Source organism: Homo sapiens, chromosome 2 (assembly GCF_000001405.40).
Source record: "Homo sapiens chromosome 2, GRCh38.p14 Primary Assembly".
Lineage (NCBI taxonomy): Eukaryota > Metazoa > Chordata > Mammalia > Primates > Hominidae > Homo > Homo sapiens.
Genome location: NC_000002.12, coordinates 134,076,879 through 134,089,420, shown reverse-complemented (window position 1 = coordinate 134,089,420; position 12,542 = coordinate 134,076,879). Strand labels below are relative to the sequence as shown.

The 12,542-nt window shown below is 45.4% G+C and overlaps 1 annotated feature.

Moving 5' to 3' along the window:
* Positions 10,117–10,166: an enhancer, noted in NCBI's record as "active region_16544". NCBI's record gives its function as "activates an Ori minimal core promoter by ATAC-STARR-seq in GM12878 lymphoblastoid cells {active_cell/tissue: GM12878}" and the evidence as "EXISTENCE:reporter gene assay evidence [ECO:0000049][PMID:35858748]".

Below are 12,542 nucleotides of genomic sequence, written 5' to 3'. Positions count from 1 at the left end.
ACCGGAGTCCCAGGCTCTGTGAAGCCCAGTTGCTGAGGGATCCTGGTATGGATGCTGTTTCTGGCATATGCTTGCTCCTGAAGAAGCATAACATTGGGTTTCCAACCAACCAACCAAAACACAACACAACACAACACAACAATCTTCCTTGCTTCCTTTAGGAGTCTCTGTTTCTTGAAACCAGAAGTGTCTGGCCTGGTACCCTGCTCTAGAACTCTTCCTGAAGTGAGGCCAGAGCATCCCAAGCAAAATCTCCAGGTCCCAGTCCATAGGCAACTTCCTGTCAAAGGAATAATTTCAGGAGGAAGGAAGACCACGTGCTCCATGGTTGGTCTCTGTACTGTCAGTATCACGGATGCAATGGCGGTTGGAGAGAATAGGAGTGTCTGTGGAAGAGAAGGTAAGAGGCAGTACATAACCAGCAGAATTCTAGACAGCTTCTAGTAACACACATAGTGCTTTTTCTGCAATTCTGGGTATGTACACTGAGGTAAATCGGATCTGTTCCTTATTCTCAAGAAGCTCACAGTCTAGTGAGAAAACAAATCTACAACCACGTCAATACAATTCAAGGTGATGGGTGCAGTTACAGGCATTACACGTGATTGAGTGTATATGGAGGAGAAGGAAGACCATTCCCAATGGAGTCAAGAGCGCATGTGAAGTCCTAGGGCTGAGGAGGCACGGCAAGCCTGGTGAACAGCACCCAGTGCCCCATGGAAAGGCATAGAATGGGGGAGCAGGGGAGCGCTAGAGATGGATGGGGTGGGAACAGGTCACAAGGGGCCACAACAGAGGTCCCCAAACTTCCTCAGTTCACTGCTCTCTTAGTGCAGCAGACATTTTTTAATAGTGTCCTGAGGCCAAAAGAAATACCTAGCAATTCCATTTATTGAGTAGTTGGGTCTAAACCACTTAAGGGATATTTATGTCCTAATAATTCTAGCCTTTTGTAAACAAAGTATATAAATTGAAACAAAAACTATTATTATTATTATTATTATTATTATTATTATTATTTGAGACAGAGTCTCGCTCGTCGCCCAGGCTGGAGTACACTGGGGCAATCTCAGCTCAATGCAACCTCCACCTCTCGGGTCCAAGCAATTCTCCTATCTCAGCCTCCCAAGTAGCTGGGATAACAGATGTGTGCCACTATGCCCAGCTATTTTTTTTTTTTTTTTTGTATTTTTAGTAGAGACAGGGTTTCACCATGTTGGCCAGCCTGGTCTCGAACTCCTGACCTCAGGTGATCCACCTGCCTCGGCCTCCCAAAGTGCTGGGATTACAGGCATGAGCCACACGCCCAGCCAAAAACGAATATTATTATTTCATTCTTAAATACTCACCATTACTCACCAAGAGGATATGTGTACCTGTTGCACACTGCACAGTTTCTCAAACTTTGGAATTAGATTGGACACTGCCACCCTCATTTCTGCTCCATGTTGAATTTGGGTTGACACTTCCCTTTTACCACAATAACCACCAAAAATTCAGCTTTGAAAAGAGAGGATATTATTGTAAAGAATATAGTTGGGTTTAATGCTGAACTCTGAACTACCTCAGTTCATGAGGTATCTGTCAATGTCAAGTATTGCCGCATTTCCCTCAAAAATTTAAAATATTCCCACTGCCATTGTGAGTTCCCTACAGTGCTCTGAGGCACCCCAGCCCAGTTTGGGAATTCCTGGGCCACTAGTAGCTCTTGGTCTCTGAAACAGAAACAGCAGTGAAACCACAAAATGCAAAACTTGGAGTAAGTACCTGGGGATCCCAAGCAATTGTTTACATTGATAGTGAAAGACAAAGAAAATTCTCAAACATTCTCAAAGCAGATGGAGAAATGAAATACTCAAAGGTAATGATTATAGCAAAGGAGATATTGTGTGCTTGAGAGATTACTATTAATCCTTTGTAAATGATTTTGGTGTTGGTTACCTATTAACAGCCCTCAGTCTGGGTGGGAGGAGTCACCTCTGTGTGGAGGAAGGTGTAGAGTCAAAGCCTGACATCTCGCCCAGGCTTGTGGCTGGGGAGGCAGACCCTGGGTAGCCATTACACTCACCTTTTTGTTGTTTTGTGGGTGGTGTGCTGTGTGTGTGCACTTCTTTACTTGTTTCACACAAGCATAAAGACACTCCGAAGTCCCTGCTGTGAAAACTTTAGCACTCTTACATGCCAATCCCCAGTTTTCAGGACATTATTAGTAGAATTCCAGGCTTTCCAAAGGGCCGTAGCAGCAACAAATGTCAAAGAAGACAGAAGACATGACAAAAAGAAAAAGTCAGCAGGCTGCAAAGGCATAACTTACCCAGAATGGAAAGACCTGTGAGTGAAGGACGTAAAGGACAGAGTGGCTGACCTTTGCCTGCGGGAGACCAGATAGTCAAAGGAGGTGGTGCCATGAAAAGAAAGGGGAATGGGAACCCTAGAGAGAAAGGAGTGTTTTCCTGCCACTTGGAGGCTGGTAACATTATCGAGTCCCTGCCCGTGTTGCCTCTGACAGGAATTGTCTCTCTAGACCACCTGAGGAATGAGTGCAGACACATTCGTAGGAAGAACAGGCAGCTGGCTGCATGGCATAATTAGAAAGTCACAGAAACTCCCCAGCCCTAGATCAAAAATAACCTCCCTACATGCCTACCAACAGTCGGAAATATTCACCATTGTCACAGTGCTTTCGAATTGGGGCACTGCAGCTCTAGGTAGGTTACTCTGTTAAAATAGAAAGGCATTATTTTGGAAGGAAAAAGCATCACCCACCAGTGTTTATCAAAACTTTACCACAGATTAGCTCATTGTTACCAATACGATCTAACAGATTGTTATCTAATCATGTATTTTACTGTATCTTATGTTAGCTAATGCTGCCTAACAGATTAACCCAAAATTTAGTGGCTTAAGATAATAAACATGTATCATCTTACAGTTTCTGCAGCTTAGGAATTTGGGAGCAAATTAGCTGGTGGTTCTAGCTGAGGGTCTCTCATGAAGATGAAGATCCTGGCCGAGGTGCGGTCACATGTAGGCTTGACTGTGGTTGGAGGATCTGCTTCTAAGATGGATCATTCTGGTGGCTTTTGGTAGCAGGCCTCAGTTCCTCACCACATGTGCTCTCCAGGGGGCTGTCTGAGTGTCCTCACAACATGGCTGCTGGGTTCCTTCAAGGATGAGTGATCCAAGGAAGAGAAGCAAGGGGGAAGCTGCAATGCCTGCTATTGGGAGTTATACTTTCTGACTACTAGCAAATGCTATTATTGTTATTTATAATTTATTTATTTATTTATTTATTTTGAGACAGAGTCTTGCTCTGTCCCCCAGGCTGGAGTGCAGTGGCACGATCTCCGCTCACTGCAAGCTCCGCCTCCTGGGTTCACGCCATTCTCCTGCCTCAGCCTCCTGGGACTACAGGCGTCCACCACCTCACCCCAGCTAATTTTTTGTATTTTGTTTAGTAGATACGGGGTTTCACCGTGTTAGCCAGGATGGTCTCGATCTCCTGACCTTGTGATCTGCCCGCCTCGGCCTCCCAAAGTGCTGGGATTATAGGCGTGAGCCACCATGCCCGGCCAGCAAATGCTATTATTATTATTATTTGGACTATCACCCATGCCGGGGTGCAGTGGCATAATTATAGCTCACAGTAGCCTTGATATCCTGGGCACTAGTGATCCTCCTACCTCAGCCTCCTCAGGAGCCAAGACTACACAGCTAATTTTTGTGGGTTTTGTAGATACAGGGTCTTCCTATGTTGGTCATGCTGGTCTTGAACTCCTGGGCTCAAGTGGTCCTTCTGCCTTGGCCACCCAAACTGTTGGGATTACAGGTATAAGCCACCACCCCTAGCCTGGCACATGCGATTGTTAGGATAAAAGTTACTAAGTCCAGACCATACTCAAGGGGAGCGTTACTAAGTTCCATCTCTTCAGTGGAAAAGAACCAAAGTATTTATAGACGTATTTAAAACCCACCACATCTAATCACCTAATAGCCATGAAAAGATGGGAAATGAAACAAGTAATGTTCTGTTAACAGTTTTTTTGAGGTGTAACTGACACACCACACAACTCATTAATATAAGGTGTACATTTCAGTGGTTTTTAATATATCCGCAGTGCTGTACAACAATCACTACTATCTAATTCCAAAATATTTTCAGCAACCCAAAAGAAACCTTGTACCCATCAGTGGTCACTCCTCCTTCTTCCCCATTCCCCCAGCCCTAGGCAACCGCTAACCTATCTTTGGGATAGGCAATTTTTGTTATTGCTGTTGTTGAGACGGAGTCTTGCTCTGTTGCCCAGACTAGAGTGCTGGAGTGCAGTGGTAAGATCTTGGCTTACTGCAACCTCCGCCTCCTGAGTTCAAGCGATTCTCCTGTCTCAGCCTCCCAAGTAGCTGGGATTACAGGCAAGTGCCTCCATGCCCAGCTAATTTTTGTATTTTTGAGTAGAGATGGGGTTTTTCCATGTTGGCCAGGCTGGTCTCAAACTCCTGACCTCAGGTGATCCGCTGTCCTCGGCCTCCCAAAGTGCTGGGATTACAGGCGTGAGCTATTGCACCTGGCCTGGAATAGGTAATTTTTGATAGAAGGTTAGTGAGAAAGAATAAATCAGAACAGATTTCTATCCTGGTCTCCAATCTTGCTAAAACTGATCAGTGGAAGGTAGACAGAAGGCAGAAATAATAGACATGGGGCCAGGCCTCCCTGCATGCTGCAAAGCACAGTCAGAGGTTACCCGGGAACTTCTCACCATCATCGTTAGGTTACAGACACTGCTTAGGAAACTGGGTCTGCCTGGTGGTCTTTAGTGGGATCCCCGAGCAGCCTCTCAGGGGTCCCTAAGACCAGCAACCTGAGGATTCTGGTGACTTGTGGGTGGAAATGGTGGCCCAAATGCACTGCTATGGGTTGAGAGATGCTGTATCTAGAACCAGGTACACCCGTGTTGGGATCCCAGCCGGGCTAGCTTGTGTCCTTAGTTGGGTCATAAAACTTTATTTAAATCAAGGCTTTCTCCAGAGGATGGTACAGGTTTTCATTTTGGTTTCTACCCCTTGCCTACCAGTCCCTGAGACCCACCTGTGGAGCACCAACCTGGGTGTGTTGTGAGAATTAGAGATGCACAGAACATACTTAACCTGTGTACTCTGCACATAGTGTTTCCTTAGTGGAGGATAACTATTACCTCTATTATTCACAAGGTGGCCTGGGATAAACTTGGATTTAGGCTGGGAGCCTTTCAGTTACCTCTGGGGCATTTGCAATAGGAGCTCAGATGAGTCCCTCTTGGTTTCTCTTCCTGAAGCTTGAGACATCCCAGGCCCATTCTTGCCTCCCCTGGGTGGCTTCAAGCTTTCTTTTGAATGAAGGGTGAATCTGAGAAGCTGTTTTGCTCTCACTGCACTTGGAAGTACAGCGAAAGCTTAGAAATACAGTTCTGTAACTTTGTACATTTATATAAAAGTTTGTTTCATTTTAAATGCATACCATTTCACACATAAACATGCACAAATGTGCTGCTTTGCGGTGTTAGCAGAAAATAAAAAATCACTCTACAATCCAAACAAACAGCTTGGCCCAGCTGTGGAGGCAGTGTGGAAGGAAGGCACGTAGCTGACTGGGCTCCCTGCTACCTCTGACCTCCTTCGGGCTCCTGTTCTGGATCTGTGCATGGATGAGAATCATGTTACACCAGCCACAGCCTCCACTGCCTTGCTTGGTGCCACCAGCCCCAGACAAGCCTCAGGGAAGAGAAAAAGGCTGGGGGGAGGAGCTTCAGTTGGAAAAAGGAGAAAACGACCCAGCCGTCTGCCAACTTTCCTCTCAAGGCTGCCATGCCCCTGGCACTACTGGGCACAAATAATTTATATCTGGCCTCGACACCCTTCCTTCATTGCCTTGGGTGGCGACCAGCTCTATGGGAACCCCTTGAGCAGGCCACACTTCTGACCTCCCTGTCTCACTTGGGCACCCATCTGACCACTTACTCACCTCTCTGTGTGTTATTTCCTTCTTAGCACTATCTTTCAAACTCTCTTCTTTGCTTATTCGTTTATCCTGCCCACACCCTGAGAATATAAGCTCCGTAGGGCATGGGGTCGCGTCAGCTTTCCACCCAGCATCCAGGGCCTGGAACCCTGTGGTTCACAGCCGGCACACGGCAATATTGCCAAGAGAGTGAATATATCCATCTAGCACTTAATGTTTTACAAAGACTTCTGTCTCTTGCATTGTCTCACTGGATTCTTCCAAAAACTAGTGAAATAGGCATTTTTTATTGGTGCTGTTTTATAGGTGAGAAAACTGAGGATCTAGGTCCAAGAGTGACTTGTCTAAGGTTGCATAGCAAGAGAAGGAGCCAGAGTTTGAACCAGCTTCTGACTCTAGATCCTTTGTTCCTTCAGTCACACAGTGTGCTTGTCCCCTGTGCCCCATGATGATGTTCTTGCTTCCACGATGTTTCCCTCCCCAACTCCCCCATTTAAATTTAATGAACTATTTATACAATAGGTTTTCCTCAACAGGGTTTTTTTTTCCAATGGGTTTTTTCATCTTTCATGACCATGTCTCATCAAATGGCTATCAAAGATAAAAGTGTTCTTGTTGTCATAAGCTTAGATGCATAATCCTTTCCATGCAATTTTTTTTTACTGACATAAAGAGTTCATTGGAGATAATATGGAATGATCTCTAAAATATAACAAAAAAGCAAGATGCAGAACATTGTATATGGATAAAAGGGGGTGAGGGAGGCAACGTGATTCAGAAATCACACTCCTTGATATTGACCCAAACGAGTTGAAAACCTATGTCTACACAAAAACCTGCACGTGGATACTGATGGCAGCTTTATTCATAATTGCCAAAACTTAGATGCAACCATGACACCCTTCAGTAAGTGAATAGATAAACTCTGGTACATCCAGACAATGGAGTATTATTCAGCACCGAAAAGAAATGAGCTGTCAAGTCAAAAAAAGACACAGAGAAAACTTAAAATGCATATTACTAAATGAAAGAAGCCAACCTGAAAAGGCTACATATTGTAGAAGTCCAGCTACGTGACATTTGTGAAAAGGCAAAACCACAGAGACAGTAGAAAGATCAGTGATTGCCAGGGGTTGGGGTACGGAGGGATGAAAAGGCACAGTACAGGGACTTTTGGGGCAGTGATACCTATGCAATGCTGGATACATGTCATTATATATTTTCCCAAATATCTACAGTGTTCAACAGTAAGAGTGTCCCTAATGTAAACTATGGATTTTGGGTGGTAATGTGGCATCAGTGTAGGTTCATTGACTGTAACAGCATGTACCACTCTGGTGAGGGATGTTGATAAGCATGGAGGCTGTCGGTGTATGGGGCAGAGAGTATATGGGAAGTCTCTGTGCCTTCTGCTCAATTTTGCCATGCATCTAAAACTGACCTAAAGAAGAAATTCCCTTTAAAATAATACAATTAAATTTTAAAAGAAGGGGAGCGGAAACTTATGTATGTTTGCTTATATACGCATTAAATACTTCTGGCAGGGTGTGCAAGAAATTAACTACATTAGTTGGTTCCAGTGAAGGAATTAGGTGTCTGGAGTCAAGGGTGGAAGGAAACCTTTTCACTGTGTACTCTCTCATTCCTTTGCAATTTTACACTATGTGACTATGTTATCTATTCAAAAATAAAATGACTCACTCATAGAAGCCGTGACTGCTCCTAGCAGCTCTCGTGCTAAGGTGTATTGATACAGATGAGCTCTGACTTCTCAGTTTGCGTCTCCCCTGCCTTTTCACCAAAAAGTGGCAGGGCAGCAGGATCCAGGAGGGAACTAGGGTGAGTCCCTACATCAGCTGTCCCACCAAGACACGTACAGACCAGGTGCTGCCTGAAGTGTGGCTCCCACACTGCCAGAGAACGTCCCTCTTGGAGAGCACCAGGCCACACGCTCTGACTCCCTCTCTCCCTCCAGATGCAGAGATGGAACTGGGGCAAGTCCTTGGGGGGAACAGTTGCTTTCTGTGAGCACATTCTCTAAAAGGAAAGCTTTTTCATTTTTTTTTTCCTACCAGTTAATTTGTTGACAGGACTGTGATGAAAAACTCTTGACAAGACCATGCAACACCAGACAAGGCAGGCAAAAGTAGTTGCTGCTCTTTTTTTTAATCTAACTTTTAAACCTGTTCATTCTCCCATCAACTATTGTCTTACCAACTATTTTCCCATGCTGCTACATCCTCAACCCCTCTCTTCTCCTGCCCTTGATGTTAGAACCTGTTTATTCCTCTACTTGGCACCCACCACCAGCACTTTTTTTCTCTTTGAGGACAAAATGGTGAGAATGACTCACACTCAGGATCCCATTTTCCCCTTCTGGTCTGTATCTCCTGCTCTGGACAACTAGCAGGCCTTCCATAGTCTCCTGAATTACAAAGCCAAGCAGCTTGCATGAGGCTTTCGTAATTGATGGCAAGATGTTTCCCTGTTGACTGTGACTGCGTCTTCCCAGGAGGTAAGAGTAAGACTGCAGTCTGACTGCTGCTCAAGGATTCAGAACAACCCCCAGAGGTTCCCTTACCATCAGACGCCCTCTCTCAGGCACTGAAAACATGCACCATTCTCTGAGGGAGTCTTGATTCAAGTAAGGGAGGCGCACATCATACTTTTAAAAACCCAAACATAATAACATAGTGCAATAGCAGCAGAAGCACAAGTGTGCAACTAATTACAGACAGGAAAGCAGATGGCCTCATCCTCATGGAATACATGAAGAAAACCTCCACAAAGCGAGGTGAAATGATGGCTCCGATAGGCCCATGGCAGATGGAAGAAAGCAAGCTGTCTCTTCGGTCCTCCCCACTCTTTCAAGGCTAGCAAAGTCCCCTGTCATTAACATGTCAAAGTCACAGCCATAAACAAAGGAAAAGCTCCCACCTTTTTGGCAACTTCAAATCCTGGGAGGATAAAAGAAGTTAAGTGGAGGAAATGAAATGTTTCTATAACAGTAAATCCTTTTCCCTTCCTGTTTGGGAGCATTCCGCCTAGTGGGGCTCTCTCTGGTTGCGTCTGTCCCACTAAACAAGCTGGGGAAATGGGTTTTTGTTTGTTTGTTTGTTTTTGCATATCTCCTTCACCTCGATTACTGTGGTAAGCATAATCATGGCCCACACACGCGTCCCCGTCCTGGTCCCAGGAGCCTGTGAATGTTATGTTACATGGAAGGGGGAATGAAGGGAGCAGATGGAATGAGATTGTTAATGAGCTAACCTGAAGAAAACGAGGTGGTCCTGGATTATCCTGGCAGTCTCAACATGATCACAGGGTTGTTAAATGTGGCAGAGGAAGGGAGAAGCATCGGTACCAGAGTGCTGCCTTGTGAGAAAGCCTCGGCCACCCACTGCCGGCTTGAAGATGGAAGAGGCTGAGGCCACGACATGCAGGAAGCCTCTAGAAGCTGGAAAAGGCAAGAAGAAGGGTTCTCCCTTATGGCCTCCAGAAGAAATGCAACCTACTGACACCTTGGTATTAGCCCAGTGAGACCTGTATCAGCCTTCCAACCTTCAGAAGGGTGAGATTATCAATCTCTGGGTGGTTTTCAGCCACCACGTTTGTGGTATGTTATTACAGCTGCAACAAGAAATGAATAGAAATAGAAAATTGGGTCCTGCTTGACCCATGACAGGGCAGAGCCTGCCTACAGAACCCTCCTGCTGGGAGTTGGCTCAGAAATCATCTTTATCAAGTGAAGGTGGATCCCACCCACTGGCTCTGAGCTAGGGCAACAGGAAGGTCTGAAAAGGCGTCTCTGACCTTTGGCTTCTAATGTCTTGGGGAAAGATGAGGTGGCACCCAACACTCATAAGAGGAACTGAGAGGAGCACTTGCTTAGAGGCCCAGGCATTCAGCGTTGGAGTCTATCATGGTATGAAAGGACTGGGTGACCTCGGATGGAAGCAGATCGGGCTGGGGCCTGAAGGTTGGAAGCATCTGGAGGGGTAGCATTCAGGTGAAGGATGCTGCCCCACAAGGGGTCCCCATGAGGCTGGAGCACCCTAGAAAGGAGGCTGCTTATCCACTTGTTAGAAAGAATGACCTTGGCCTGAGGAGCTCTCTAACATACAGAGTCTCTCCTGAAACTCTGAATTTCTTGCCAATCGTAAAACTAACCTTGTGGATTCATTAAAAAGGGATAATGACCACTGAATGGTGTGACAAGTACAACTTTAAAAAATGTAGCAGAAACTCATTACTAATTAATGCCTAGAATCAGCTTTTTAAAATCCCTTTCTTCAATGCCCATGAGATACAGAATTGGGCTTTACAAGCTGTTTAATTGTTCCCCTGCAGGAAAGGCGAGGTGCAGTGAATCCAAGCCTCCTTTCACTCTCAACCCTCCACCCTCCCCTGCTGACCCTGTCTTCTTTCCTCAAGAAAACCATGGGGATGAAGCAGGAGAGGGAGGACCAACATTGAGTAGCACCCAGAAAAGCCTATCCTGCTCAGTGGAGGTGAGCCCTGTTTACTGTCCAGGAAATATAACCTGAAAGAGGACATGGTCTGAGACAGGACAGGCTGAGGGGTGAAGGCAGGGCACATGCCACAGATACAGCACTTTTATGAGACATGCTTTGCCTTTTGCTGGAACCCAACCCTTATGCTGGAGCTTCTAGGAGCAGAGATTGCCTCTGTTCACACTTTTCACTCCACTCCAACCCTCTATCCCAAGTGCCAAATACTTGTGCTGGACACAGAAAGAGGTTCCATTAAACGTTTGCTGAATTGTGTGAGGCTGAAAGTGCAGCCAAGGTTCCTGTTTTTCTCTTAGCAGCTGTGACTGAAGGTCTCATTTCCAACAGACTCCAGACCTCTCTGTGTCACAGGAGTTTAAATGACACTGTGTAGCACTAATGTAGTTTGGAGATGATGCAATTAAATGACTGATTCCAATTTGAACAGTATTAGTTGGCTAATGGCCTTTGGGATACAATCCAACTCCTTAGCAAAAAATGATTATGATAACTAAACTTGTCCCCTAGCCCTTCTCACTCCTCCAGCTTATCTTCCTCTCCACTATGTACCCACGGAATGTCTCCTCTGAGCACACCAGATTCTTTTTGGCTGTTCCTCTGGCTGAAATGCCCTCCCTGCCTCTCCCAGTGTCTGGCAAATTCCCCACCTCTCTGGAAAATTCACATTCATTTTCTAAGACTCTGGCTATATCATCTCTGCTAGGGGCTTTTCCTGACACTCTGGGCTGGTTGGGTGCCTCCTGCCCATGGACGCCTAGTTACCAAATACCTGTTTCGGGGACTGTACTAGTTATCTTTATATCATGACAGCCTAGAAAAATTCCTAGCATTTTCAAACAAATGTAGAAAGTTTCCAACAAATGTCTGTTGAATAGCTGTTATTAACAGCTACTATTTATTGAGCCCATTTTCTATGCACAACACCCTATGCTAAGATCTCTATACTGTCTCATTTAGTCATCCCAGCGGTCATGTAAAGCAGGCTTATTTCTCTCATTTTACACACTCAGGGACTTAGGCCTGAGAAACATAAATAATCTGCCCAAAGTTACCTAGCCACCTAGTGAAGGAGCCAACATTGAAACCCAGAAGCTTTTCTTTTTTTGAGATGGAGTTTTGCTCTTTCCCCCAGGCTGGAGTGAAGTGGCGCGATCTCGGCTCACTGCAACCTCCGCTCCCCTGGGTTCAAACGATTCTCCTGCCTCAGCCTCCCGAGTAGCCGGGATTATAGGCAACTGCCATCACACCCAGCTAATTTTTGTATTTTTAGTAGAGACGGGGTTTCGCCATGTTGGCCAGGCTGGTCTCAAACACCAGACCTCAGTCTCCCACAGTGTTAGGATTACAGGCGTGAACCACCACAACCGGCCAGAAGCTTTTTTTTAAATTTTTAAAAATAATAATAATTTCAACTTTTGTTTCGGATTCATAGGGTAAACATGCAAGTTTCTTAAATGAATATATTGCCTGATGCTGAGGTTTGGGGTACGAATGGTCCCACCACCACAGAGTGAGCATAGTACCTACCCAATAGGTGTTTTTCAGCCCTTACCCCCTTCCAGCTCTCCCCCTTCGAGTAGTCTCCAGTGTTTATTGTTCCCGTCTTTATGTCCATGAGCACTCAATGTTTAGTTCCCATTTATGAGTGAGAACATGTAGTGTTTGGTTTTCTGTTCCTGCATTAATTCACTTAGGATAACGGCCTCCAGCTGCATCCATGTTGCTGCAAAGGGTATGATTTCATTCTTTTTATGGCTGCATAGTATTCCATGGTGTATATGTGTATTAGCCTGTTCTTGCACTGCAATAAAGAAATACCTGAGACTGGGTAATTTGTAAAGAAAAGAGGTTCAATTGACTCACAGTTCCACAGGCTGTACAGGAAGCATGGATGAAGATGCCTCGGGAAACTCACAATCATGGTGAAAGATGAAGGGGAAGCAGGCCCATCTTACATGGCCAGAGTAGGAGGCGGGCAGGGAGGTGCTGCACACTTTTAAACAACCAGATCTCAT